The following is a 27,493-nucleotide window of genomic DNA, read 5'->3' as shown; positions in this document are numbered from 1 at the left end:
AAAGTGAACTGGCCGTGACAACTGTAAGGAGCTGGACAGCTGATTTTTGCCAGATTGAATGTAACCAGGTCATCCCAGCAGTGAACATGGTGCACACATGCCAGCCCAGCCAGGAAGGCACTGCCAGGAGAATGGTTCTCGGGGAACTTCACTCTCTCCCCTAGGAAAGCTGGATTCAGAGCCTCCACAGTGGTTTGGCTGGCCTAGGCTCAAAAAATGCCTCCAAGGCAGGCCTGCCAGTCTAGGCCACCCATGGTGGCTCATGCCTGTAAACCCAGCACTTTGGGAGGCTGAGATGGGATGGGTACTTGAGCCAAGGAGTTCGAGACCAGCCTAGGCAACATAGCGAGACCTGTCTCTACAAAAAATCAGCCAGTATGGTGGTGCACGCCAGTTCTCCTAGCTACCTGGGAGACTGAAGTGGAAGGATTGCTGGAGCCGGGGAGGTTGAGGCTGCAGTGAGTCGTCATTGCACCTTTGCACTCCAGCCTGGGCAACAGAGCAAGACCCTGTCTTTAAAACAAAACAAACAAAAAAACAGCCAAGGGAAGGCCACTTTGTCTCCCAGGTGATGCCGGGAGGGAAGTTTCCGAGGACTGAACAGCTTCCTCTCTTCTCCCTCCAGGTCCCTGTGCACTTTGCACACAGGTTGGCATTCGGGTGTGGGTGGCAGAGTGCCATCTGGTACAGCATCCAGCACTAGGTTTCAACTCTGTGTTACAGAACCAGGAATGGTGGTAGTGCACAAGTACTCACTTATTAGAGGGCAGAGCATTTAGGTGAGACAGACCCCATGGGGTCCAGATTGGATGAGTGAGTGGGGAAGAACCTCCCACAGTATATCCTGAACACAGAAGGATCCCTCCAAGACTCTCACTGGCCCCCACCCCATTGGTTCCGGTCCCCAGGAAGAGGAAGGGCTCAGATCAGCATAACAGTGAATCACCGAGCACTTCCACACAATGACCCCTCCAGGAGGGTGGAGAAGCTTGTCTGGCAACAGCCTACACAAACGGCAATTCTGAAGAGCAACAAACAAACCAGTTTAGCCCCAATTCCCATTTTGCATAAGAATGCGCCCCACAAAAACAACACCCGAAGAACATTAGTTGATCACCACTGGTTGATCGTTACCAGTTGCAAACACTAAAGTTTGAGCCAAGACAGAATTTTAAAAGTCCCCTGGAAGGAACTTTGGGTAAAGTGGTTTTGTGGAAACTGGTGTTAAAGTGTCATTAGACTGAACTCAAACGTTCCATGGGGAGCACCAGATGTTTCAAGCAACAGATCTTGGTAAACTTGGTTTCAGAAAGAAGTTAAGCCAGAGAAGGGTTTGGACCCATAAACCAAAGGGAACTTGTTAGTCACTAAGTGACTGCCAAGGTACCTGTTTTCGTTATGCTAATAAGAGGTTACACAAATTCCAGGAAGGAGGATTGCTAGGTGCAGGGGATGGTTAGGTCACAGGGGGACCGCCTGCCGGCTGGCCTCTGAATAGACCCTGACCATGGCTCCTTAATCCAGGGAAGCAGCAAAAACGAACAGCAATTGGGCTGAAAACAGGGCGAAGGTCCTTGCGTTAGGCCGGGAGAGTCGTTCTTAAAAACATGCATCCTCCCAGAGGTCACGGCCTCCTTCACATCGTCCAGGTCGGGCACGGGTCCCAGAGAACGACACCCCAGTGTACATGAGGTACTGAGCGAAGACAGTGGGCATTGCTTCTCCCCTCCCCATCCCCGAACTACTCTTGCCAGCCATCACACACAAGGAAAGGTATTCTCTATAACCAAACGGATGATTTCGTCCACTTCTTCCTTAAACACCTAAAAACCACAGCGACAGCACTAGTAGCCCTTCATTCGGAATCAGAGCAGCAGCATCTGCGAACCTGCAAAGACCAGGGGCTAAGGGTGCCAGGACACAGCGAGAGTGGCCCCTGCTCAGATCCGACACAAGCCTCGGGGGCTCCCGGCGGCGTAGACGCCGCACTTCGCTCGCTTCCCGCTCTGCACCTACCTCGCTCGCACATCCGCCAGCGTCCGGCACCTGAGCCGTCGGTTCCGCGGGTGCCTTCTCCTCTTCCCCGGCGTCCAAGGGGCCACTCCGAGCCGCTCGGGGGTCCCCGCCGCCCCCCTGCACAGCCTGGCTGCCGCCGTCCACGCTGGCGCCGGCTCCTCCGGTGGACGAGGCGGCGGCGGCGCCGAGCAGCCCGTGGGCCTCGTCCGCGCTCCCGGCAGCCACGCTGTGCACCAGCCATGCATCCACGCTGGTGCGAGGGACGAAGGGGACCCCGAGCGCGCGCACCTCCCGGAGCAGCTGGCCCTCGGGCGGCGCGGCAGGGTCCAGCTCCCGGCCCTTGGGGTGCAAGTGGCCCGCGCGCCCCCACCCTCCCGAGGCCGAGAAGGGGCTGAGCGCGTAGGCGGAGCTGGCCGGGCCGCCCAGGAACAGCAGCTCGTCCTGCAGCAGGGTGGGCGGCGGCAGCAGCAGGTAAAGATCTAGGTCTACGCGGAGCCCCGCCAAGCTCAGCAGGAGGGTGAGGTGCAGGAGGCCGCCGCCGGCCGACCACCACCGCTTCAGGTGCTTCATCGCCGCCGCGCGCCCGGGAACGCCCCTGCCGGCGCCCGCGGGTCCCGGCGCCCCAGCCGCCGGGGTGACACGTGCGGACCCCGCGCGCCGCCCGCACCTGCCTGGAACCCAGATAAGCGAAACAATGGACCGGGGCGCGTGGCGGCCGTCGCGGGTTCCCAGCACCGGGCACAAAGGCGTTCCCTCGGCAGCCGGCACCGTGCCTGGCACCGCCGGGGATCGGGAGAAGCGAAGAAGGAGCCACCTGAGCGCCGAGCCCGTTCGCCCAGCCGCCCGCAGCCCGGCGCGGTGGCCAAGCTCCGCCCCCGGCCGCGGGCGCAGCCGACAGGAACACGCCCCCTGCCGCCCGGGGCCCGCGCCCGTGGGAGGGGCCGCACGGGGCGGGGCTCCCCGAGCTCAAAGCCTCTTTATGTCCGGGGAACGCAAGGCTTTCTGGGAGCAGAAGTTGTTCTGGGCACCAAGTGGCCCCTTGCCACCCTGTGGCCGTGAGCTGGGCCATCCTTGCTGAAAGCCAAGGGCGGGAGTTGGGGTGGAGGGCTAGGTGGTGGGTAGCTGGGTGGGAAGGGACAGGATGTGTAGACTGGGCGGAGAGTGACTGGGCAGCTACGAGGGGCCTGGCAGCTTGCAACGGGCTTCCACCCCAACGTGAGGACACTTGGCGGGCAGAGTGGGCAAGAGTAACCTCTCTGTCTCAGTTCCGCTATCTGTAAAATGGGGATCATAGAGCCTGTCAAACAGGGATGTGTTGAGGTCAGATGAAATATTTCGTGTAAAGTTCGGAGTTTCACATATAAATTCCACCGTTGCCATTGGGATCAGTCATCCCACCACTCCGCACACCCCAGTCCCAGCCTCACAGACCCCTCTCTCTTCTCTGGGCGTGCTCTGCATAGTGCTAGACCTCCTCTCGGTATCCTTTGCTCCTTATCCGTTGTTTCCTTGAGGGTTGACAGCACCAGCTCTACAGTTACCCTGAGTGAGTTCAAGTCCCCCCTCCACTTGAGGGGCGACCTTGGACAAATCTCTCCTTTTCTCTGTGCCTCAGTTTTCTCACTGTAAAATGAGACTAATAATAGCACCTCCCCAGCAGACCTTTTGTGAGCCCCAAATGAGATAATGCATGTAAACCACCGACCACAGCACTGCATGGGTAGGAAGTGCTCCCTGCTACCCATTGTTTGTGTTACTCACCCTCAAGGCTTAGCTCCAAAGCTACATCCTCTGAATTTTCACCAGTTGGCATTAATCTCTCCCCCATCTGTTGCACCGTGATTTCTCCGTTTGCCAACATTGTAACAGTTGGCCCATTCAACTCTGTGTTGTAGATGAGAATCGGTCTGATTTGCCCATTGTAAATTCTTGAGGACAAGGAACCTGTTTGGTTCACCTTTGTCCATGCACAGTACCCAGCACTGGGCCTTGCAAGGGTAGGTTTTACTAACCTTAGCTCCCTTCCTTGGAAGAAAAGGGGACAGGAGGGGATGCCCAACTGAGAATGGGCAGTTGTGTAAAAAGTTGAGCAAGACTTGTTTTAAAAGGCCCCTCCCTCCACCTGGCTTTCTCATCTCTCTCCTGGGCTAGTGTAGTAAGAAGAGAAAAGAATGGGGACCAGGGGAGCAGAAACAGGGGAGCAGAGGAAAGTTGCTTCCTCTGTGTTAAGCCTTGGAAGATGGGTTGGGGTGGCAAAGAGGATGAAGAAAGGTGATTGCCAGGTTATCAAGACCCCGTTCACAGCATTTAGTCTTTGAACAGCGGATTTAGAGTCTCAGCTTAGTAAATGCTGCCTTCAGCTTTTTACTGAGAACCTACTAACTGCCTGAGGCTGTGCTGGAGGCATGAAGGATATGAAACGGAGTTCTTTCCTTCCGTAAGCTTATGGTTTTACTAGGGAGATGAGATAAAAATTTGTGAGACACTAAGAAACAAGAGAAATAATGTACTCAATTGCCAAAATACTTAGATGTAAATTACTTCAAGGTTTATATAGGGAGCTCTAAAACTATTGAGAGTAGAGGCGGTGCCTTCTTCAAGGCGGTGCCCTCCAGAATCTTACACACAGTTGATGCTCAAAAAAAATATTAGTTGAATTGAGGAGGTTACACTTGAGATGTATTTTGAGAAATCTGAATAGACTGGGAACAGGAAGCACATACAAACTTCTAACATTTGTTGGGAAGTGGGCTAACCCCTCACCATTTTACAATGTGAATTGGTAATCATAGTGTTAAATATCTTTCAGACTATACACTTCAAAAGCATGGCTTAACTCTGGCTCTTGACTGGTGGGAAGAACAAGGGTACCTAAAAGACCTTGCAGGAAAGTGTTAACCAGGAGACAATCCTACATACCCTTGACTTTACTCACAATAAAAAGTCCCACTTTTAGGAGCATGGGGAGAATGGAATGAAATTAGAAGGAAAAACTTCTCTTTAGGTTTATTTCTAGAATCCTCCATCTAGGAATAGCCAAGTGAAAAGTCCAAACCATTGTCTTGTAAAAGCCTTGAAAAGTCATCTGCATTCATAAAATCCTGAAATCAGTGCTACTCAAAGGTTGACCTGAAACTGATGCTCATGTGTAAACTATTTGCTTCTGATCCAAATGAGATAAGTAATAGAATTGAGAATTTAAAGAAAAAAAAATTTTTTTTTGTAGAGATGGAGTCTTGCTGTGTTGCCCAGGCCTGTCTTGAACTCCTGGGCTCAAGCGATCCTCCTGCCTCAGCCTCCCTAACTGCTGCAATTACAGGTGTGAGCCACCATGCCTGGCCTAAAGAAATTTTTATAGCAATTTGACATCATTACAACATCAACAGATGAGCTGAGGTTTTGGGTTTTTTAAATGCCTTTGTAATTTCATTTTTCTAGAAATGAATTTCTATTTTATTTGACAAAAGTGCTGACTTGCAACAAATTGAAAAAATTTTTTTAAAGTTGATTCTTCAAAGGGTTAGTTTGAGAAGCACCACCTTAAATGGCATCCTGGTAGGGTAGGCAACTCCCAAGATAATGTCCAGTGATTATTCCCTTCCCTATATTCCCTAGTGTGGGCTAGACCTGGTGATGTGCTTCTAATAAACAAAATATGGCAAAAATGGTGGGCTTTCATTTCTGAGTTTAGATTACAAAAAGATGGAGTGGCTTTTATCTTGCTTACCCTCTCTCCCACTTTCTCCCTCTTGGAGCCCTCACTCTGGGGGAAGGAAGCTACCATGGTTGTTGTTTTTTTTTTGTTTTTTCTTTTTTTTTTTTGAGATGAGGTTTTGCTCTTGTTGCCCAGGCTGGAGTGCAATGGCGCGATCTTGGCTCACTGCAGCCTCTGCCTCCCAGGTTCAAGCAATTCTCCTGCCTCAGCCTCCTGAGTAGATGGGATTACAGGCGCCCACCAACACGCCCAGCCCAGCTGTTTTGTATTTTTTTTAATTTTATTATTATTTTTTTAAATTGATCATTCTTGGGTGTTTCTCGCAGAGGGGGATTTGGCAGGGTCATAAGACAATAGTGGAGGGAAGGTCAGCAGATAAACAAGTGAACAAAGGTCTCTGGTTTTCCTAGGCAGAGGACGCTGCGGCCTTCCGCAGTGTTTGTGTCCCTGGGTACTTGAGATTAGGGAGTGGTGATGACTCTTAACGAGCATGCTGCCTTCAAGCATCTGTTTAACAAAGCACATCTTGCACCGCCCTTAATCCATTTAACCCTGAGTTGACACAGCACATGTTTCAGAGAGCACAGGGTTGGGGGTAAGGTCACAGATCAACAGGATCCCAAGGCAGAAGAATTTTTCTTAGTACAGAACAAAATGAAAAGTCTCCCACGTCTACTTCTTTCAACACAGACACAGCAACCATCCGATTTCTCAATCTTTTCCCCACCTTTCCCCCTTTTCTATTCCGCAAAACCGCCATTGTCATCATGGCCCGTTCTCAATGAGCTGTTGGGTACACCTCCCAGACGGGGTGGTGGCCGGGCAGAGGGGCTGCTCACTTCTCAGAAGGGGCGGCCGGGCAGAGGCACCCCCCCCTCGTCCCGGACGGGGCGGCTGGCGGGGCGGAGGCGCCCCTCACCTCCCTCCCGGACGGGGCGGCTGGCCGGGCGGGGGCTGACCCCCCAGCTCCCTCCCGGAGGGGGCGGCTGGCCGGGCGGGGGCTGACCCCCCAGCTCCCTCCCGGAGGGGGCGGCTGGCCGGGCGGGGGCTGACCCCCCAGCTCCCTCCCGGAGGGGGCGGCTGGCCGGGCGGGGGCTGACCCCCCCACCTCCCTCCCGGACGGGGCGGCTGCCGGGTGGAGGGGCTCCTCACTTCTCAGACGGGGCGGCTGCCGGGCGGAGGGGCTCCTCACTTCCCAGACGGGGCGGCCGGGCAGAGACGCTCCTCACCTCCCAGACGGGGCGGGGCGGCGGGGCAGAGGCGCTCCCCACACCTCAGACAATGGGCGGCCGGGCAGACACTCCTCACTTCCTAGACGGGATGGCGGCCGGGAAGAGGCGCTCCTCACTTTCCAGACTGGGCAGCCAGGCAGAGGGGCTCCTCACATCCCAGATGATGGGTGGCCAGGCAGAGACGCTCCTCACTTCCCAGAAGGGGTGGCGGCTGGGCAGAGGCTGCAATCTTGGCACTTTGGGAGGCCAAGGCAGACGGCTGGGAGGTGGAGGTTGTAGCGAGCCGAGGTCACGCCACTGCACTCCAGCCTGGGCACCGTTGAGCACTGAGTGAACGAGACTCCGTCTGCAATCCTGGCACCTCGGGAGGCCGAGGCTGGTGGATCACTCGCGTTTAGGAGCTGGAGACCAGCCCGGCCAACACAGTGAAACCCCGTCTCCACCAAAAAAATACGAAAACCAGTCAGGTGTGGCAGTGCGCGCCTGCAATCGCAGGCACTCGACAGGCTGAGGCGGGAGAATCAGGCAGGGAGGTTGCAGTGAGCCGAGATGGCAGCAGTACAGTCCAGCTTCTGCTCAGCATCAGAGGGAGACCGTGGAAAGAGAGGGAGAGGGAGACTGTGGGGAGAGGGAGAGGGAGAGGGAGAGGCAGAGGCAGAGGCAGAGGCCAAGCTCTCCCTGGCCAAGCTGGTCTCGAACTCTTGACCTCAGGTGATCCACCCACCTTGGCCTCCCAAAGTCCTGGGATTGCAGGCATGAGCCACCATGCCCAGCAGGGAAGTTACCATGTTTTAAGGAGTCCTATGTAGAGGCTCATGTGGCAAGGCCAATATCCAGTGAGAGAGAAGCTGAGGCCTGCCAGCAGCCACTTGAGTAGGCTTAGAAGCTGATCCTTCTCCAGTTGAGGCTTGAAGTGACTAAGTTGGCTTCTAGCCCATGCCAACTCTTTGATTGCAGCTTTGTGAAAGGCCCTGAGCAAGAGGACTACACTGCACATGGATTCCTGACCCAGAAATAAACTTAAGATAATAAATGTTGTTTGAAGTCACTACATTTTTGAGTAATTTGCTACATAGTCATAGATAACTTGTATACCTTGTGTAAGAGGTGGACCTCGCCGGGCACAGTGGCTCACGCCTGTAATCCTAGCACTTTGGGAGGCTGAGGCGGGTGGATTGCCTGAGCTCAGGAGTTCGAGACTAGCCTGGGCAACACGGTGAAACCCTGTTTCTACTAAAATACAAAAAATTAGCTGGGTGTGGTGGCATGTGCCTGTAGTCCCAGCTACTCTGGAGGCTGAGGCAGGAGAATTGCTTGAACCCGGGAGGTAGAGGTTGCAGTAAGCCAAGATTGCACCACTGCACTCCAGCCTGGGTGACAGAGCGAGACTCTGTCTGCAAAAAAAAAAAAGAGGTGGACCTCCAGTCTTGAGTCCAGGAGTTCAAGACCAGCCTGGGCAACATAGTGAGATCCTGTTTCTATTTAAAAAAGAAAAAGAGGTAGACATCAGTCAAGTAGAAGGAAAAGCTGAAAATGTAACTGCAGTTGTGCCATACAGTTAATGATATAGTCAATGAATAATTTATAACTAGGAAGTAACTTTACAGTAGTACATTCTAGTCCCTAGATATATTTAAAGGGCTTAACCCTTTAAACGTGAAATTATAACTTGCCATGAAAGATAGTAACCACTAAAACATGGCCACCCCTACCTGGTATGAGATGAACAAAACATGGCAATTTCTTGTAGACCTCTAAATAGAAAAATCTTTTTTCCTCCTTTCTATACTCTCACACAACACTTCTGACAACCAATGTGTGGGTTTTCGATACCAAGCAATTCTTTGATTCCAGTTATCTGGGGTCATCAACATGGTGTCCTCCAACTCAATTCAATTCTGACACTATCTGCCTGGGGTTAGCATGAGACCTCACTTCAGATGCCAATCTCATCTGTGCCTTCTGAACTTCTGACTGATGGGCTATACACTGGGGGTTCCCACAACCCCCTTCTCAGGTTCAATAATTTGCTAGAATGGCTCACAACACTTGGAAACATTTACTCATGTTTACAGGTTTGTTATAAAAGATACAATAAATGGAAGAGACACATAGGGCAAGGTATGGGGAAGGGGCACGGAGCTTCCATAACTTCTCCAGGTGCACCACCCTCCCAGCATCTCTATGAGTGCGTCAACCCAGATGGTCTCCAAACCCTGTCCTTTTATTTATCTGTTTATTTATTTTTTATGAAGTCTTCATTGTGTAGGCATGATTTTTTTTTTTTTTTAAACAGAGTCTTGCTCTATTGCCCAGGCTGGAGTGCAGTGGCGCAATCTTGGCTCACTATAACCTCCACCTCCTGGGTTCAAGTGATTCTCTCGTGCCTCAGCCTCCCCTAGTAGCTGGAACTACAGGCATGTACCACCATGCCAGGCTAATTTTTTTTTTTTTTTTTTTTTGTATTTTTAGTAGAGATAGGGTTCCGCCACATTGGCAAGGCTGGTCTCGAACTCCTGGCCTCAAGTGATTTGCTTGTCTTGGCCTCCAGAAGTGCTGGGATTAGAGGCATGAGCCACCACACACCAGTCTTGCAGGCATGACTGATTAATTCATTAGTCTTTGGGGACTGAACTCAATCTCTAGCCCCTTTCCTCTCCCACTCTTATCACATTGTAAGTTTTAAGGGTTTTAGGCGCTCTGGCCGGGAGCCAGAGACAAAGACCAAAGACCTATGTATATATGGTGGGTTTGGAGTTTTTTTTTTTTTTTTCTTTTCTTTTCTTTCTTTTTTTTTTTTTTTTTTTTTTTTTTTTCTGAGACAGAGTCTCTCTCTGTCACTCAGGCTGGAGTGCAGTGGTGCAGTCTTGACTCACTGCACCCCCTGCTTCCCAGGCTGAAGAGACCCTCCCAAAGAGATCCTCCCACCTCAGTCTCCTGAGTAGCTGGGACCACATGAGGCTAATTTTTGTAGTTTTTGTAGAGATGGGGTCTCTCTGTGTTGCCAAGATTGGTCTTGAACTCGTAGACTCAAGTGATCCACCCACCTCAGCCTCCCAAAGTGCAGGGATTATGGGCTTGAGCCATGGCACCCAGCCAAAGATATATTTCTCATTATATCACAAGATCACAGCATCTATCCAAATCAGCAAGAAAGAAAACAGGTCAAAACCTTGACATCCTTCTTTTAGAAAGTGTCTGTTAATATTAGCCACAGGAAATTTAAATTTGTGGTAGAAATTCCATGATTAAGCAAAATAGCCTGTTAAAGTCCAAGACATAAATTAAGATATACATTGTATCATCTAGGAGGGAGAATTAAGTATAGCTAATTTTAAAACAGGCGTAGTCACTAGAATTAAAATTCTTGGGACATTTTGCCAAAGGCTTTCGCAAGAGAATAGCTTTATGAATGAACTGATTTGCTGTGTAATACCGATCTTGGTGATGAAGAATCAACTGATACTTAATGCAGAGGATGAGTTTATGCTTTTTTCTGGTTAGTTTATAATCTTCCGAAAGTTTGACTTTAAAGTTGCTTTGGACATTATGATGACGATGATCACTAAGTGCTTGCACATAGTATTCACAATAGTAGCTACGACGTACTGAACCCTGCTCTGCGCTGGCCCCTTTTTGTGCATTTATTCCTTACAGCACCTTTGTGAAGTAGGGTAGCCAGGGATAAAAACCAAATATCATAACAAAAGATGCTTTTATTTATTTATTTATTTATTTATTTATTTATTTATTTATTTATTTTAAGACAGAGTTTTGCTCTGTCGCCCAGGCTGGAGTGCACTGGCACGATCTCAGCTCACTGCAACCTCTGCCTCCTGGGTTCAAGCGATTCTTCTGCGTCAGCCTCCTGAGTAGCTGAGACTACAGGCGCCTGCCACCATGCCTGGCTAATTTTTGTATTTTTAGTAGAGACAGGGTTTCACCATATTGACCAGGCTGGTCTCAAACTCCTGACCTCATGATCCACCCACCTCAGCCTCCCAAAGTGCTGGGATTACAGGCATGAACCACCGCGCCTGGCCGCTTTTATCACTCTTATCACTTAGGAAGTTACAAGGGTTTTAGGAGCTCTGGCCAGAGTTCCTAAAATTATCTCCATTTCATATAGTCTAGATGAGGACACTGAGGCTCAGGGACACGCCACCCTCTGCCTAAGGAAATGCCCTCAATAAACGGCAGAGTCAGAATTGAAATTCACAATCTGTCAACTTTCTGCTGCCGTCCGCCACTCCTCTGCACTGTTTTGCTTGTTTGTTCATGACTCAGCCTCCTCCTTTTGCAAGAGGGAATGCCCTTCTTCAACCAAGCATTCTTTCCACAGCTTTGGAAAGTGTAAAATCTGCCAAAATCTCTTCTCTGCAAAGTGTCAGAAGAAATGAAGTATTGGATTTTGCCCCTTCATACGATGCCTTTCTTGATCTTTTACACAAAAACAACTAACTGTATTTAAAGCACTTTATCTTGTTGCTTGGCTCTTTGGTGATTCCTGCATGCTTTTGATTCCTATTGATTCATGCCAGCCTTGTTTACTTTCAAAGACATATTTTAAGCATCCATTGGTGACAGTCCCTGGGATACAAAGACTGTCAAGGCAAGAGCTTGTGGTCTTATTAGGGAAGCAGGATGTGTAGAGGGTGAAATGCATGCCACTGATTGAGGAGTCTGGGACTCCTCATATGAGAAACATATTTAGGACCAGGCTTGTCCCAGGGAAATCACAAGCTAAGTAGGCTTGCTGACTCCCACCTAGTCTCTTTGGTGTGAACTGGAATTCTTACACTCAGGTTAAGGTTCCAGGGTTTGCGATTGCACTCTGTGTGTGTGTGTGTGTGTTTGTGTGTGTGTGTGTGTGTGTGCAGAGGATGGAAAAGGAATAAAGAAAAGGGGTCTAGGGGACCTCGGAGTCAGGCTGATCAGTGGGGGTTACAGCATACATCATTTGGAAGCAAAGGGGAACTACCATTGGCAACTTTTGTCCTGTCCATCAGATCCAAAGTGCTGGATCTGGTTCTGTTTAACAACCCACACAAGCGTAGTGCACTAATCAGGATGGGATAGCCACTATAACAATCCCCAAATCTCAGTGCTTTAACCCAACAGGGTCTGGCTTTGTCACCCAGGCTGGAAAGCAGTGGCACGATCTTGGCTCATTCTAACCTCTGCCTTGCAGGCTCAAGCCATGCCCCCCAACCTTAGCCTCCCGAGTAGCTGGGACTATAGGCACACACCACCGCACCCAGCTAATTTTTGTATTTTTCAATAGAGACAAGGTCTTGCTGTGTTGCCCTGGCTGGTCTTGAACTCCTGGGCTCAAGTGATCCTCCAGCCTTGGCCTCCCAAAAGTGCTGGGTTTACAAGCTCACGTGAGCCACTGCACCTGGCCTCTTGCTTATTTTATACTTCAGAAAAAGGGTGTAAGATAAAGGGAGACCGTGTCCTTTAAAGTCGTTTGAGGACAGAGCCTCTTTTTTTATTGTGGCTCTGGGCTCCTCTGGATCCTCAGAGTCCTGTCCATTCAGCCAGTGGATGGAGCGAGTGAAAATCAAGCACGGGAGGTTTGTATGGGCCAGGCTGGGAAGTGGTGTTCATGACTTCCACTTCATACTTCATTGGCCAGAACCAGGCCACAGGGCCACACCTAAGTGGCGAGGTGTTACAGTAGGTAGCTAGTCAGACATGAACAGGGCAGGAGAGGGCTTCCCTTTCCCCACCAGGAATGTCAGGTGATGGTTAACTGTCTCTCTAAAATAATAATTGGTCACAGCCGACACCAGGGAAAGGCCGTCTCCCAACAGATAGGAAAACCTGAAACCGGTGATCAGCAGCTTCCCAATACGATCTCAGGAGTTGAGTGAGTGGGCTCACGCATGTGCCCTAAGAGGCAAAATGGCAGCATTTAACTGCTATATGATCTTCCTCTAGGAAGGCCTCAAGTGAGCATGCATACAACTTCAGTAAACACACTGCTCCCGCAGCCCCTCCCAAGTGCTGGCAGAACTGCACATGCTGACAGCCCACCTCAAGGGAATAATCAGGGGAGAAGTACCAGCAAGACCTCAGAAGTATGCCAACACAGAAAACTTGAAGTCAAAGGTCAAACCATGCACTTGATCTCTCAAGTTGTCTGCTTGGCCCTCTTCCAAGTATACTTTATGTCCTTGCATTCCTTTCCCAAAACTTTTTAATAAACTTTCATTCCTTCTCTAAAACTTGCCTCAGTCTCTCACTCTGTCTTATTCCCCCTTGTTTGCATTCTTTCTTCTGAGGAGGCAAGAATTGAGGTTGCTGCAGACCCATATGGATTCACTGCTAGTAACAAAGGGAGGCTGCAAGGAAGCCCTAACTCTGCCCAAGACCAAGAAGAGAGCATAGATGGCTATCTTTGCCACATGTGATAAGTTACTGTCCTTGGGTTTTATTCTGTATTCCATTCATTTGAAAACCACTTATTCAACACCTACTGGGTATCTTGCTTTTTTTTTTTTTGACTAAACATATTCTTTTAGCCACTCATAGTGAATTAATACACTAACACAAACCTCAATGACTTGTTCATGGTAGAGCAGCACTTTGCCCTGACAGTCTAGGTGTTTAGGAAATGCTGCCTGGTGAGAATGGTCAAAGTGGGGTATATTGTGGAAAGAGCTTGGGGTTTAGGTCTCATAGTTTGGCACAAGCAAGTCATTTTAGAAGGAACACCTACTACATCTCTGGACCTCAGAGCCGCTCACCTTCACAGTGAGGACTTGAACTGGACAGATTTCTAAGTTCCCTTTGCACCTTGAGTGTCTCTGAAAGCCCTGGCAACAAGTGAGGAATTACGCTAGATAATGACCAAACTCTGGTGTTCTTGCTTAACTCTGTGGCTTTCAGCCCTAAAAGCACCACCACATAGATTTGGAAAAGAAAGCAGAAGATATTTTGCTCTACTCTTGATTAAATCTCCAGATGGAGGAAGAATTTGAAAGGCCTCTCTCTGGCTTTGGGATGCATCTTACTCTTTTTGTCAGTACATGTATCTGCCGGATGACGTTGTGAACGTGTGACACTCATATTGATCTTCTTTCCCTAATTGCACACTACTTGATAGTAGGAAAGCTGCACGTAAGTAAGTTGGACTGTGGGCAAAGTCGCTGATTATTTACAAGGTAGAAAACCAAGCACCCATAACTGAAAATTAACAGAAGCACAGTTGGCAGAGGGCCTAATTATTGCTCCTTTGCTAGAAAAAAACCTAAGTTTTGAGGCCAGTGACCCTGATCAGTATTTAATAAAGTTGATGGGTTTTTATATTTGAATTGACCATTAATTTAGCACCTGAATTCTCTCAATTGTTTAATCATCTCCCTTAAGCGCATTTATATTTTTGGTAGCAGCTATAATACTCTCTTTAGTAATTCACATCATTAAACAATTCCTTTTCAACTGTTTCTTTGTCCTTGCTGGCTTTATCTAATTCCTAGTTTTATGATCAGCTCTGTGGAATCTCTATCTGATCTTAACCAGGCAGCAGCCTTCTGATTGTCAGAAGGCAGGAACAGAACAGAAGGTGAGACTCCCCAGCCATCTAGGCCCACTTCTGAGCCCCCTCAACCTCTGCCTGCCTTCTATCTGCTTTCTAAAAAGATAAATGCTAGTTATAATTTTAGTTTGCTGAACAAATGTGTCTATGCTATTGTAGTGGGTTGAATATACCTCCCATCCTCAAATTCACATTCACCTCAACCTCAAAATATGACCTTATTTGGAAATAGAGTCTTTGCAGACATAACCCTAAGGTAAGGATGGAGATAAAATCATACTGGATTAGTATGGGTCACAAATCTAATGAGAGTGCCTTATAAGAGACAGAAAAACTCACACAAAGACACAAAGAAGCAGGTGATATGAAGACAGAGGCAGAGATTGGAGTGATGCTGTCCCAAGCCAAGGAATGCCAGGAGCCACCAGACACTGTAAGAGGCAAGCAAGGATCCTTCCTTAGAGACTTCAGCCCTGCTGGCACCTTAATTTCAGACTTCTGGGCCCTGGAACTATGAGAGAATACATTTATGTTGTCTTTTTTTTTTTTTTTTTCTGAGACAGAGTCTTGCTCTGTTGCCCAGGCTGGAGTGCAGTGGCACTATCTCAGCCCACTGCAACCTCTACTTCTCTGGTTCAAGCAATTCTCCTGTCTCAGCCTTCCAAGTAGCTGGGATTACAGGTGCATGCCACCATGCCCAGCTAATTTTTGTATTTTTAATAGAGACAGGATTTCACCATGTTGGCCAGGCTGGCCTGGAACTCCTGACCTCAGGTGATCCACCCGCCTTGGCGTCCCACAGTGCTTGGATTACAGGCGTGGGCCACCACACACGGCCCATTTCTGTTATCTTAAGCAACCAAGTTTGTGGTCATTTGTTATGGCATTCCAGGGAAACTAATACAGATATGTTTTTTATTTTCCTTCCCTTTTTATTTTGTTCTTGTTATTACATAAGAACTATTTCCTTTTTTTTTTTTTTTTTTTTTTTTTGAGACGGAGTCTTGTTCTGTCACCCAGGCTGGAGTGCAGTGGTGCTATCTCAGCTCACTGCAACCTCTGCCTCCCAGGTTCAAGCGATTCTCCAGCCTCAGCCTCCCGAGTAGCTGGGATTATAGGCGCGTGCCACCATGCCCGGCTAATTTTTTTGTATTTTTGGTAGAGATGGGGTTTCACCATGTTAGCTAGGCTGGTCTCAAACTTCTGACCTCGTGGTTCGCCCACCTCGGCCTCCCAAAGTGCTGGGATTACAGGCGTGAGCCACTGTGCCCAGCCTACATAAGAACTATTTCTATGGAATATATGTATGTGTGTGTGTGTGTGTGTGTGTGTGTGTGTGTGTATCTATACATACATATATTTTTTCTTTCGAGACAGGTTCTGGCTCTGTCGCCCAGGCTGGAGTGCAATGGAGCAATCTCCATTGTTCACAGTAACCTCTGCCTCCTGGGCCCACCTCAGCCTCCCAAGTAGCTGGGACTATAGGTGCACACCACTATGCCTGGCTAATTTTTGTATTTTTGGTAGAGACAAAGTTTTGCCATATTGCCCAGGCTGGTCTCCAATCCTGGGCTCAAGCGATCCTCCTGCCTCAGCTTCCCAAAGTGCTAGGATTACAGGCATGAGCCACCATGTCCAGTCTTGGAATATTCTTCAGCCATAAAGAAGAAGGAACTCCCGTTATTTGGCACAACATGGATGAATCTGGAGGACATTATGCCAAATGAAATAAGCCAAACACAGAAAGACAGATACTGTATGATTTCACTTATGTGTAGAATCTTTAAAATTTTTTTAATTAAAAAAATTTTTTTGAGTGACAGGGTCTTACTCTGTTGCCCAGGCTGGAGTACAGTGGTGCAGTCATAGCTTACTGCAGCCTCAAATGCCTGGGCCCAAAACGATCCTCCTGCCTCAGCTTCCTGAGTAGCTAGGACTACAGGCATAAACCACCACACCCAGCTAAATGTGTTGAATCGTTAAAAAAAAAAAAGTCAAACTCATAGAAGCAGAGAATGGATTGGTGGTTTCCAGGGGCTAGGAGGTTGGTTAAAGGGTACAAACGTTGTTATAGGATGAGTAAGTTCTGAGAATCTAATGTACAGCATGATGATAATAGTTAATAATACTGTATTGTTTACTTGAAATTTGCATTGAGAATAGATTTGAAGTGTCTTCACTACACTCACACACGTAAATGGTAACTAATTGCGTTAGTTAGGTGATGGATGTGTTTATTCATTTGATGTGGTAATCATCTCACAATGTATATCATATATCAAGACATCATATTGTATACCTTCAATATATAGAATTTTAATTTGTCAATTACACCTCAATAAAGCTGGGAAAAAAATGAACTCTTTCCCTGAGTAAAAACTGGGGGACTCTGGGTGCCGCTGAGTTCAAGGTAGCCTTGGAGCAAAGGTACAGGAGGGAGTACTGCTGAAGCAGGGCATTGAGATACTGCCACTCTGGGCCAGCACTTGTCCAGCATGATGGAGCATGAACACAGGAGATGGTTTGGCACTGACAGTGGGTTCTTGTCTGAGAAAACCACTTGAATCCTTTCTTCTGTCCCTGTCTCACCTTCAAGGTTGATCTGTGCCATCTTCATTTTATCCTTCTCCTCCCACCCCCAACAAGGCTGCAGCAAAACACAAACCTAAGGCTTTTATAACAGAAGTTATTGGGTCAGGCATGGTGGGTCGTGCCTGTAATCTCAGCACTCTAGGAGGTTGAGGCAGGCGGATCACTTGAGGTCAGGAGTTCGAGACCAGCCTGACCAACATGGTGAAACCCCATCTCTACTAAAACTACAAACATTAGCTGGGGTGGTGGCACACGCCTGTAATCCCAGCTACTCAGGAGGCTGAGTCAGGAGAATCACTTGAACCCAGGAAGCGGACATTGCAGTGAGCCGAGATTGCATCACTGCACTCCAGCCTAGGCGACAAGGCAAGACTCCATCTCAAAAACAAACAAACAAGAAAAACAGTACATGCGAATTTTGAATTACAGTAAATATTCCCTGATTTTCTAGGCACACTACCGTAACCTTGCTATTACTAACATCTAGGTTGAAAAGGGTTTTTTTAAAAAAAGTTTCAGGCTGGGGGTAGTGGCGCACGCTTGTAATCCCAGCACTTTGGGAGGTTGAGGTGGGCAGATCATTTGAGTCCAGGAGTTCAAGACCAGTCTGGGCAAATATGGCAAAACCCCATCTCTACAAAAAATACAAAAATTAGCTGGGTGTGGTGGTGCGCACCTGTAGTTCCAGCTACTCAGAAGGCTGAGGTGGCAGGATCACTTAAGCCCTGGAGGCAGAGGTTGCAGTGAGCTGAGATTGCACCACTGCACTCCCGCCTGGGTGACAGAGCCGATCTTGTCGCAAAAACAATAAAAATAAAATTTTAAAAAGTTTCATATAGCAATTTGAATTTTTAGGAAGCATTTTTCTTCTGTCCTCTCCTCTCTCCCTTTCTTTCCTGTCTCATTTCCGCTTGAAAGTGCTTTGTGATCACAGTGTCCCAGTATTATTTATTACTTTGTGACTTTTACAAGCAGCAATTAACCAAGAACATTATTCTTCAAGATGTATGTCTTTTTATAATTCAATGGTAAGTGCATTTTCACAATTCTATTGAACTACACCTCTTCAAACCTTCAAGATTGCCAAGATGAGTTAGGAAGAAACAGGATCTGGATCAGTTTCCTACAAAAGTGTCAATATTTGTTAAAACAAAGAGTACCCCCAATAGAATGCCATCTGTCCTTGTCTTTGAGGACCTGCCGAAAAATCTTTTCCCAGCCAAGAGACGATTATTTGGCATAACTGACACACATTCAGCAAGATGGTTTACAGATCAGAAACTGGCTTATATAGGCCGGGTGCAGTGGCTCACGTCTGTAATCCCAGCACTTTGGGAGGCTGAGGTGGGTGGATCACCTGAGGTCAGGAGTTCGAGACCAGTGTGGGCAACATGGTGAAACCCCGTCTCTACAAAAGATACAAATAATTAGCCAGGCGTGGTGGCGGATGCCTGTAATCCCAGCTACTCGGAAGTCTGAGGCAGAAGAATCGCTTGAACTTGGGAGGTGGAGGTTGCAATGAGCCAAGATTACAACACAGCACTCCAGCCTGGGTGACGGAGCGAGACTCCATCTAAAATAAATAAATAAATAAAGAGTTGCTTTGTTATGTGAAAACTGAAAGTATAGTAATGTGTTTCATTTTTGAAAGTATAAATTAGTGATTGTTTACCAAAGTATTTCCCATAGGAAGCTTTTAAACAGCAGGATACCTAATTGATTTAAACATTCAATTCACTAACAAGTTATTTGTTGTACAACATTTTAGAAAGTAAGCAATTGATAGGTAAAACACAAGGCCCTTCTCATGGTTTTATTGTTTCAACTATGCTGTCTCTGAAGCAAATAAACTCACTACTTTCTCCTATTACAGATGGAAACACAGTTTTGTTGCAGTTTTCAGGCTGAAGCATAACACACAAAGTCTAGCACCTCAGAGTATTGCAGTTCCCAGATCTATGCTGGCACCTCACCCCCATCATCAATAGCCTTTCTTTTTACGAGGCAAGCGTGTTCAACATGCTTTTGAGTATGGTCAGTTATCTGACTTGAGTTCCAAAGGAGTGTCTTAGCTATCTGAATTCCTTTGGAGAAAACTCAAGATTCCTTCAAATAGTAACCTGAAGAGTAATTCAAAAGGTCATCTCAGGTAGGAGTTGTGAAAGTTGATCAATAAATTGGGTCATCTTTGTTCTACCCAACTAAAACAGTTGAGAGGCCACTGGGAGAAGGCTCTCAGGGCACATAACATTGCTCCAAGAATGTAATTCTCTGCAAGCCCTGCTGCTGAAACTGCCTGCTGTAGCCTAAAGCCAGTTTTATCTACTAGCTACCGAAACTACCTCCTGTGACTTGAAGAATTATTTTACCCATTGCCATCACTTACCAAGCAAAACTTGCCAGCTTCCTAAAACCTTACTAGTGCCAATGAACTTTCTCAAAGAGCAATATGTAATATTTCTCCGTTTAAAGAAAACTTCTGACCTTCTCTTTGTTCTTCAGACACAGTGAAGACCACCTGGTCTGTGTGTATGGCCCAAATTGCAATTCTTCCTTCCCAGATAAAACATTTTAATTTCAGAGATTTGTCTGTATATTTCATTTGAGTTCAACAGAGTGAAATTCTTCAAAATGCATTAGACAGTTTTCAGGGCCCATTTCTCCTACAGTGGATTGCTCAGTGGGATGTTTGCCACTCAGAATTTCTATCCATCTGTGTCTCTTCTAACTCTCCCTGAAAATGAATTAATTTGGAAACCTCAAACCATCTGTAGAGTCTGACTCCACAGCATTCTTGCAGCCCCCAAACACTCCATCCAGCTATGCCATTCCTTCCCAATTTATTTTCTACAGGTACTGCCACCCTTTATTTAGACCTTCATGAATCTCACTTTTCCCAAGAAAAGAACAGTCATCCCAGCCTCAGCCAGGGCCCTAGGCCAGTTGTCCCTCCCTTAGGTTGGTATAGGCCAGGAGTGTGGTCTTCTTCCACTGCAAGGCATTCAGCTGCTCTGCAGACATCTTAGCGCAGTTTAACTAGACACAGCTAATCTAGAGGATCTTGGCCACCATAGAAACACATAATTCCAGCCTCCAAAGATACATGGGCATGTTTACCAAATAGGTTTTTGTATGTGCTAAGTTAATTAATTAATTCAATAAATATCTCATGAGCAGCTGCTATATTTAAGGCATTGATCTGAGAACATTGTTCCATGAATAAAACAAAGCCCCAGATCTAATGGAGCTTGCAATCCACTTGGGAGAGACAGACAACAGATTTTTTTTTCAGTGGATACTAAGTGCTAAGAAGAAAAATAAAACAGGAGCAAAAGAATGAAGGGGAGGAGAGTGATGGTATGTAGATGGGATCATCTACCTGTGTTACATAAGGAGGTGGGCAGGGAAAGTCTGACCTGAAAGAGGGAGAAAGCCACACAGTCATTGGTGGTTGGGAAAGAGTATTTCAAGCAGTGTGAATAGCAAGTACAAAGATCCTGAGGCAGAAGAGTACTAACCATGTTTGAGGAATGGAAAGAGGCCAATGTAGGAGGAAGGAAAAGCTGTATTATGTACCAAGTCATATTGAACATCACAGGCTATGGTGAAGAATTTGTATTTCACTCTGAGAAGGGCAGGAAGCTATTAGAGGGTTTTGATTTTATTTATTTATTTTTATTGAGATGCAGTCTTGCTCTGCCACCCAGGCTGGAGTGCAGTGGCGTGATCTCAGCTTACTGCAAACTGCACCTTCTGGGTTCAAGCGATTCTCCTGCCTCAGTCTCTTGAGTATCTGGGACTACAGATGTGTACCACCACAACTGGCTAATTTAATTTTTTATTTTTAGTAGAGACAGGGTTTCACCATGTTGGCCAGGCTGGTCTCAAATTCCTGACCTCAAATGATCCTCCTGCCTGGGCCTCCCAAAATGCTGGGATTATAGGCGTGAGCCTCTGTCCCCAGCCTATTAGAGGATTTTGAACAGGAAATTAATACATACAAAACACAATATGTCACACATAGTGAGTACTGAAAAAAGCCTATCTTTAATTTTTATTTTTCCTTGACTCTAAAGGAGCTCTCTATTCTGCTTTATGAAAATGGTATTGTTGTTTTCTAATGGTATTGCCTTTTCTAAAATTGACAGAAAAGATGGAAAGCAAATATAAAAATCCTGGTCTTATAATCTCTAGGTGAAATTTCCACATCCTACATCTACAAAAGGTTGGATTATTAGAAAATTAAGACCCCATGTCCAAGGCTTTAGGTCCTTCTCTACATTTTGCTGCTTAGCAATGTATTTTTTTTAAAAAACTTCTTCTTATGGAAAATTTCAAATTCAATACAAAATTAGATAGAACAGCCATCTCCAAGCAATTATGAATTCAAGGCTATTCTTGTTTCTTCTATTCTGCCATCCATTTTCTTTCCCTTCCTTACACTGAATTATTTTGAGGCAAATCCCAGGCATATCTTTTCATCCATGAATGCTTCAGTATGTATCTCTAAAAATAAAATCTTTTCTTTTTGCATTGCCACAATACTATAATCACACCTAAAAGTTTAACTATAATTTCTTAATACAATCAAAAATCCAGCCAGTTATGACATTTCCCTGGTTGTTTCATTAATGTGTTTTTAAAAATAGTTGATTTGTTTAAATCAAGATTCAAATACTGCATTTGGTTGATAGGCCTTATAAATCTAAAAAGACTAAATCTGATTATTTACCCTACCGTCCTTTTTGTTTGTTTGTTTTGAGGCAAGATCTCACTGTCACCTAGGCTGGAGTGCAATGGCACGATCTTGGCTCACTGCAACCTCCGTCTCCTGGGTTCAAGTGATTCTTGTGTCTCAGCCTCCCGAGTAGCTGGGACTACAGGCACACACCACCACACCCAGCTAATTTTTGTATTTTTTGGTAGAGAAAGGGTTTCACCATGTTGGCCAGGCTGCCTTTTTTTTTTTTTTCTTTCTTTCTTGTCATTTATTTGTTGAAGAAACTTGGCCATTTGTTCCTTAGATGTCCCTGATTTTGGATTTTGTTGAATGCATTCCCATGACATTGGTGAATATATTTCACTTCCCTCTGTATTTCTTAGAGATAGTAGTGAGCTCTAGAGGCATAATCAGGTGGGATTTTTTGGCAAGAAAACCTCATAGGAGGTGCTAGGAACTTCCCATTGCATCCCATCAGGAGGCATCCTGCCTCGCTGCCTCTCTTTTTGTGATGTTAGGACTGATGGGTGGGTTCAGTTGGCATCAGCCTGATTCATTTATGATTAAGTTCCCTGTGAGACTTTTCATCTAACAGCTTTAGCTGCCATTGACAGTCACTGCCTACTGCAGTAGGGTTCCTATAGTGTGCTTTTCATAGAGGTGAGGTGCTCTGACCATTTTGCTTTTAGTTAACGTTAAAGCCGCTCTGTTTTGGGCAACCAAGTTCATGGGACTCTCTGAGGGGAAAAAAATGGGGATGGAAGTGAAGGAGGGATTGGTGACCAAAAAGTGAGGAAAAAGCTGCTTCTGATGGCCTCCTCTTGCCACAGACTCCAATGACACTTCCCCTGGGAAGTTCTGCAGGAAAGAAGCCCATTTAGCTTTGTTTGATTCTGTATTTTCCAAGTTCACTTGACTACGAACATTTTATTCTATGTGGAGTCCTAATAAGGGAAGGGGAGTTAGGCTGGTGGGAGCAGGGGAAAGTAAAAAGAAAAAGAAGATAAGCTTTAAGGCTGCCTTTCTTCATGGTCCAGGACACGTAGCCCTCCTGCACGAATAACTCACAATCTTCCTGCACTGACTTATCACCAGATCCTCGGCTGATAGAAAAATGCAAGTTAGCTCACTGCAATCTTGGTGTTATCAGTACAGCACATAGCCCTCTCTAGCACAAGCACCATCTTATAAAATCCCCAGCAAACTTTTGTCTCCTTGCAGTCAGCTCCTCTGTTGCTGATCTGCCCATTGCACCCTTGCAACGTATTTTCATACTTTCTCCTATAATTCTGCCTTTTTTTTTCACTTACAATTGTCTTGGTAAATTCCTTTACCCATGTGCCACCAGCCCCAGCTAGTCGCTACCTGCAACATTCTTTATCATACTTTTTACTACCCATTGGAGTAAGCTTTGGAGAATACTATTTTAGTGTCCAGGTTACTTAAAATAATGCCACTTATTAATATATGCATGTGTTCCTTAGCTGTCTGGAACCAATCTGACAGTCTTCTGAAGGCTGTGTTCACTAGTGGCCATAAGCTGAATGCGTTCTTATAAAAGCCCAGGATGGCAGCATTGGCAATATTTCTGGCAAAGCTTCACCTGGAAACTCTGAATTGACATTGTATCCCTGGGAATGAATGCCCGAGGCAAAGAAGAAAATATCAATTTCACGTATCAGCTCAATCTTACAGTGCTTGCCGGTAGCCCTTGTGATAAACTTTCAAGAAATGCCACATTGGGGTGCACCCAGGGACGCTAGTACTAGATATAGTTACTCTCTGTCTTCATTGCTTTCCTCCACACAATCTCCAAACCACACCTAGTGGACCATTCCCCTTCTGTTTCCCTCAGTAACACTGCTGTCAACTCTGTCACCGCTTGCACAGTGTGGTTAGCTGATAGCAAATGAGATATTGGAGAGGTGATATAGCAGAGGCCTTGACTGACTTTTACTTATTTATTTATTTATTTTTTAGAAGGAGTCTCGCCCTGTGCCCCAAGCTGGGATGCAATTGCACAATCTCTGCTCATTGAAACCTCCGCCTTCCACGTTCAAACGATTCTCCAGCCTCAGCCTCGTGAGTAGCTGGGATTATATGCGCGCCACCACACCCAACTAATTTTTGTATTTTTACAAAATTGTATTTTTAGTAGAGATGGGGTTTCACCATGTTGGCCAGGCTGGTCTCGAATTCCTGACCTCGTGATCTGCCTGCCTCAGCCTCCCAAAGTGCTGGGATTACAGGCGTGAGTCACCGCGTCTGGCCCTTGACTGACTTTCTGAAGGCAGGGATTTCATAGTGCTCCTTTCATGTGGCCTTTAGTAAGAAGCGTCCACTCTCATTGTGTTTTATTTACCAGCTTGCTTTTAAAGAGCCAGGACCAGTCCACTAGCTGTGCAGAGTGCTGACCTCTTGGATGAGAGCCCTGACCTCATAGGATATCTGAGCTTGTCATAATTCAGGTGGGTTCTGTAGGGAAGCAGGGGCTCGTGGGGAGTGGGAGGAAGCTGGGGAGAAGATGAGTTGAGAGCAGTCCAGTGTGAGGGAAAGTGGGGATCCTGGGCCAACTTACCATTAAGAGGGTCCAGTCCTGTGACTGCTGTGAAGTAACCAGGATTCCACATAGAGATGGGGCTCAAAGTCAGCCCAGGAGCAGCACTGTGGTCCCAGGTAAGAGGTTTGCTTTGATAGGATCCCAGCCAGGAGCTGGAGATACAGAGTTATGGCCAAGCCCCTGGGGAAGGGACCTGGTAAGAGCTGGGTAGGGTACCAGGATCCCAACCATGAACTGCCTTAGCTCTGATGGGCTCAGAAGTTAGGCAGGGTTGAGTATGCTTGTGGGAGGCTTCTCTGGCTAAAATAGTAGGACCCAGCCTGGCGTGGTGGCTCACACCTGTAATCCCAGCACTTTGGGAGGCCCAGATGGGTGGATCACATGAGGTCAGGAGTTCGAGACCAGCGTGGCCAAGATGGCGAAACCCCGTCTTTACTAAAAATACAAAAATTAACGTGATGGCGGGCGCCTATAATCCCAGCTACTTGGGAGGCTGAGGCAGGAAAATCGTTTGAACCTGGGAGACAGAAGTTGCAGTGACCCAAGATCACGCCACTGCATTCCAGCCTGGGTGACAGAGTGAGACGCTGTCTTAAAAAAAAAAAAAAAGAAAAAATAGCAGGGCCTAAACATTAACTGTCACATCCTAATATCTAACACTATAGGACAGGTTGGAATTGAGAGTCAGGATAGTGGAGTGATTAAAACTATAGACGCTGATGCCAGCCTTCCAGGGTTCAAATCCTAGCCCAGTTGTGTGACCTCAGGCAAGTCACTCCACCTCCCTGTATCCCAGGCTCCCCATCTATAAAGTGAAGGCAAATACTTCCCTCATAGTGTTGTTATGAGGATTAAAGGAGCTGAGATATGTAAAAGCACTTAGAACAGTGCCTGGCACAAGGTCAAATGCAGAGTGTCACCTGTTATTATTAAATTGTGGCCGTAGAGGACAGATCAGTGATTTTAGCCTGGTGCACTCTGAGGAAAGGACCGTAACTTCAATAAGGTGTCAGAGCTGAGTGCAAGCTGGATAAGCTGTGGTAAGGAGGGGGTGCTCCAGGGCAGGTGGACAGGAGCCGAGGCAGGGAGGGAGCAGACAGTGAGACAGTGAGGGAAAGCTGTGGTCCTTGTCCCCACAGACACAGCTATTTCGAGGATAAGGAGGATCATAGGCCCCCTTCCCAGGCTCATGGGCCCAGGTCATGGTTTGCTGCTCTCTCCCGGGTAAGAAGGGGGTGATGGCCAGGCTCATATCTGTGTCCCTAGGTTACTTGATTTCCCCTGGTGGCCTCCTTTCTAGAGGCCCTCACGTATCTCCCAACCTGTTCTCTTCAGGTCACTCACAAAAGTTTCAAACTTAATGTCAGGTTATAATTTTTCATTTTCTGATCACTCAGCTTGCTTTTGCTTTTTCTTTTTTACACAAGCAAAGAAGATTTGGCTCATTCTGGAGTTTTCTTGGGATTCTGAAATACATTTTTCCTTCCTCTTGATAATAGTTCGATGAAAGTGGGGTGGGGAGAGTGCCAAGTGCCTCAAAGTTGCAGGGGTTCAGAAGCTTCTGTGGCAGCCAGCTGCCTGGCCTGTCGCACCAGGGGCTCTGTGCAGTCACTCCCCCAGCTTTTCAGGGCAGGAATCCGGCCTTCTCTGCCAGCCCCATGCCAGCTGCCTAGCGCAGTGTCTCCAGCCCCACTTTCCTCCCCTCCCATGGTGATCTGGGGCTCTAAATGCCGGGCCAAGCAACTACTATTGCCCCCCTCCTGACACCATTCATTTTCATTTTTGTCTTGGAAAAATCTGGCCCCTTACACTTGTGGCTCTAGAAATATACTGATGATTTTTGTTTTAAAAATTTTTTTTTAGCTGAGCGTTGTAGCTCACGCCTGTAATCCCAGCAGTTTGGGAGGCCAAGCTGGGAGGATCACTTGAGCCCAGGAGTTTGAGACCTCATCTCTCAAAAAATTAAAAAAAAAATCAGTTGGACACGGTGGTGTGCACCTGTGGTCCCAGCTACTTATGAGGCTGAGGCGGGAGAATGGCTTGAGGCCAGGAGTTCAAGGCTGCAGTGAGCTATGATTGTGCCTCTGCACTCCTTATTTTATTTTTATTTTTAGAGACAGGGTCTCACATCCTCTGGGTCATTCCCCAGCTCTATGCTTCTGCACAAAATCATCATGGTTATTGGGCTTCTAGTTCTTCCCACCTCTCACTTCTATGTCCCTCTGTCTTCTCTCAGCAGCACCTCTGGGCCAGTCCAGCCAGGTGTAGAGTGAAGCTGAGCCCTTGATTCATCCTTGATTCCATTGTGAAGTCACACAGCAGCTTGGTGTGTTAAAGGCAAACCTCATGGGTGTCTAGTAAGCCTTGATTGTTTCTAACAGACTGCTTTGGCATTCTCTAATTAGCAGCCTCAGTCCCTGTGTCAGTCTGAGAGCTACCTCCCAATTCATAATCATTGTTAACCTTAAAAAGTAGGTACAAGTCAGACAAAGTGGTGGCACATGTCTGTGGACCCAGCTACTTGAGAGGCTGAGGCAGAAGAATTGCTTGAGCCCAGGAATTCGAGGCTGCAGTGAGCTATGACTGCACCACTCCACTCCAGCCTGGGCAACATAGCAAGACCCCTGTCTGTAAAAACAAAAAAAGTGGTATAGTATCTACTTGGTCCTGCCCATTTAGCAAGCATGAGATGCTAAAGCTCTCATTATTTGTTGCTAAGTTCTCTGTGAATCTGAGTCAGCTGGTTATTTTCCCTCTTCACAGAGGAGGTATGTGCTTCTCTGTGCTTGGCAGTCTGGGTGAGGAGCAAGGTGGCGAGGTGCTACTAAGGCCAAATACAAGGTCTGCCTCCCTTCCATGACAGTCTGCAGACATGGTTTCAGGGCCAGGTCTGGGCACTGCTTGAAACAGTACTTTCTGAAGGAAAGTATCACAGAAGGAAACTGCCTTGTAAGAATAAAAGGAGAACTTCAAACATGCTGTCAATATTTGATGAAGCAGCCAGTTCAGGTCACGCTGGGTAGTCAACTGCTCTTGGGTTGAGAAAACCATGGCTAATGAGAGGAGGAAGCACACCTGAGCCAACTTGCTCATGAGCTGAGTTATTCAAATGTGG

General features: G+C 47.0%; 1 protein-coding gene and 1 long non-coding RNA gene across 7 annotated transcripts in view, besides 13 other annotated features; one reads left to right on the top strand and one right to left on the bottom strand.

Annotated features, from left to right (window-relative positions):
• The window catches only part of NFE2L3 (NFE2 like bZIP transcription factor 3), a 34,940-nt gene extending 32,053 nt beyond the window's left edge, over positions 1–2,887 (bottom strand). The window contains exon 1 of the mRNA NM_004289.7: positions 2,017–2,887. Coding sequence (NP_004280.5) covers positions 2,017–2,586 — 570 coding nt within the window. The 5' untranslated portion in view covers positions 2,587–2,887. The remainder of the gene's footprint in view (positions 1–2,016) is intronic.
• Positions 1,339–2,132: an enhancer, noted in NCBI's record as "OCT4-H3K27ac hESC enhancer chr7:26192573-26193366 (GRCh37/hg19 assembly coordinates)". NCBI's record gives its function as "activates a minimal SCP1, AML or CMV promoter by ChIP-STARR-seq in naive H9 embryonic stem cells {active_cell/tissue: H9 hESC(naive)}" and the evidence as "EXISTENCE:reporter gene assay evidence [ECO:0000049][PMID:30033119]".
• Positions 1,799–1,988: an enhancer, noted in NCBI's record as "active region_25779". NCBI's record gives its function as "activates an Ori minimal core promoter by ATAC-STARR-seq in GM12878 lymphoblastoid cells {active_cell/tissue: GM12878}" and the evidence as "EXISTENCE:reporter gene assay evidence [ECO:0000049][PMID:35858748]".
• Positions 2,109–2,178: a silencer, noted in NCBI's record as "silent region_18034". NCBI's record gives its function as "represses an Ori minimal core promoter by ATAC-STARR-seq in GM12878 lymphoblastoid cells {active_cell/tissue: GM12878}" and the evidence as "EXISTENCE:reporter gene assay evidence [ECO:0000049][PMID:35858748]".
• Positions 2,109–3,098: a biological region, named in NCBI's record as "H3K27ac hESC enhancer GRCh37_chr7:26191778-26192572".
• Positions 2,133–2,927: an enhancer, noted in NCBI's record as "H3K27ac hESC enhancer chr7:26191778-26192572 (GRCh37/hg19 assembly coordinates)". NCBI's record gives its function as "activates a minimal SCP1, AML or CMV promoter by ChIP-STARR-seq in primed H9 embryonic stem cells {active_cell/tissue: H9 hESC(primed)}" and the evidence as "EXISTENCE:reporter gene assay evidence [ECO:0000049][PMID:30033119]".
• Positions 2,189–2,438: a silencer, noted in NCBI's record as "silent region_18033". NCBI's record gives its function as "represses an Ori minimal core promoter by ATAC-STARR-seq in GM12878 lymphoblastoid cells {active_cell/tissue: GM12878}" and the evidence as "EXISTENCE:reporter gene assay evidence [ECO:0000049][PMID:35858748]".
• Positions 2,549–2,618: a silencer, noted in NCBI's record as "silent region_18032". NCBI's record gives its function as "represses an Ori minimal core promoter by ATAC-STARR-seq in GM12878 lymphoblastoid cells {active_cell/tissue: GM12878}" and the evidence as "EXISTENCE:reporter gene assay evidence [ECO:0000049][PMID:35858748]".
• Positions 2,629–2,698: a silencer, noted in NCBI's record as "silent region_18031". NCBI's record gives its function as "represses an Ori minimal core promoter by ATAC-STARR-seq in GM12878 lymphoblastoid cells {active_cell/tissue: GM12878}" and the evidence as "EXISTENCE:reporter gene assay evidence [ECO:0000049][PMID:35858748]".
• Positions 2,719–3,098: a silencer, noted in NCBI's record as "silent region_18030". NCBI's record gives its function as "represses an Ori minimal core promoter by ATAC-STARR-seq in GM12878 lymphoblastoid cells {active_cell/tissue: GM12878}" and the evidence as "EXISTENCE:reporter gene assay evidence [ECO:0000049][PMID:35858748]".
• Positions 5,936–6,608: an enhancer, noted in NCBI's record as "OCT4-NANOG-H3K27ac hESC enhancer chr7:26188097-26188769 (GRCh37/hg19 assembly coordinates)". NCBI's record gives its function as "activates a minimal SCP1, AML or CMV promoter by ChIP-STARR-seq in primed H9 embryonic stem cells {active_cell/tissue: H9 hESC(primed)}" and the evidence as "EXISTENCE:reporter gene assay evidence [ECO:0000049][PMID:30033119]".
• Positions 6,609–7,281: an enhancer, noted in NCBI's record as "H3K27ac hESC enhancer chr7:26187424-26188096 (GRCh37/hg19 assembly coordinates)". NCBI's record gives its function as "activates a minimal SCP1, AML or CMV promoter by ChIP-STARR-seq in primed H9 embryonic stem cells {active_cell/tissue: H9 hESC(primed)}" and the evidence as "EXISTENCE:reporter gene assay evidence [ECO:0000049][PMID:30033119]".
• Positions 9,540–9,740: a silencer, noted in NCBI's record as "peak6447 fragment used in MPRA reporter construct". NCBI's record gives its function as "represses an SCP1 promoter by STARR-seq MPRAs in K562 erythroleukemia cells {active_cell/tissue: K562}" and the evidence as "EXISTENCE:reporter gene assay evidence [ECO:0000049][PMID:32103011]".
• Positions 15,290–15,490: a silencer, noted in NCBI's record as "peak6446 fragment used in MPRA reporter construct". NCBI's record gives its function as "represses an SCP1 promoter by STARR-seq MPRAs in K562 erythroleukemia cells {active_cell/tissue: K562}" and the evidence as "EXISTENCE:reporter gene assay evidence [ECO:0000049][PMID:32103011]".
• The window catches only part of LOC105375199 (uncharacterized), a 191,528-nt gene continuing 188,330 nt past the window's right edge, over positions 24,296–27,493 (top strand). For 2 of the 6 annotated variants that reach the window (XR_927122.3, XR_927116.3), the window contains exon 1: positions 24,341–24,494. This is a non-coding gene — a long non-coding RNA (uncharacterized LOC105375199). Of the gene's footprint in view, positions 24,495–27,493 lie in introns of all 6 variants that reach the window. The other 4 variants (XR_927113.3, XR_927114.3, XR_927117.3 and 1 more) reach the window with 4 other exon arrangements.

The sequence above is a fragment of the Homo sapiens genome, chromosome 7 (assembly GCF_000001405.40).
Source record: "Homo sapiens chromosome 7, GRCh38.p14 Primary Assembly".
NCBI classification, from domain to species: domain Eukaryota; kingdom Metazoa; phylum Chordata; class Mammalia; order Primates; family Hominidae; genus Homo; species Homo sapiens.
This window is presented reverse-complemented; position numbering and strand designations above follow the sequence as displayed.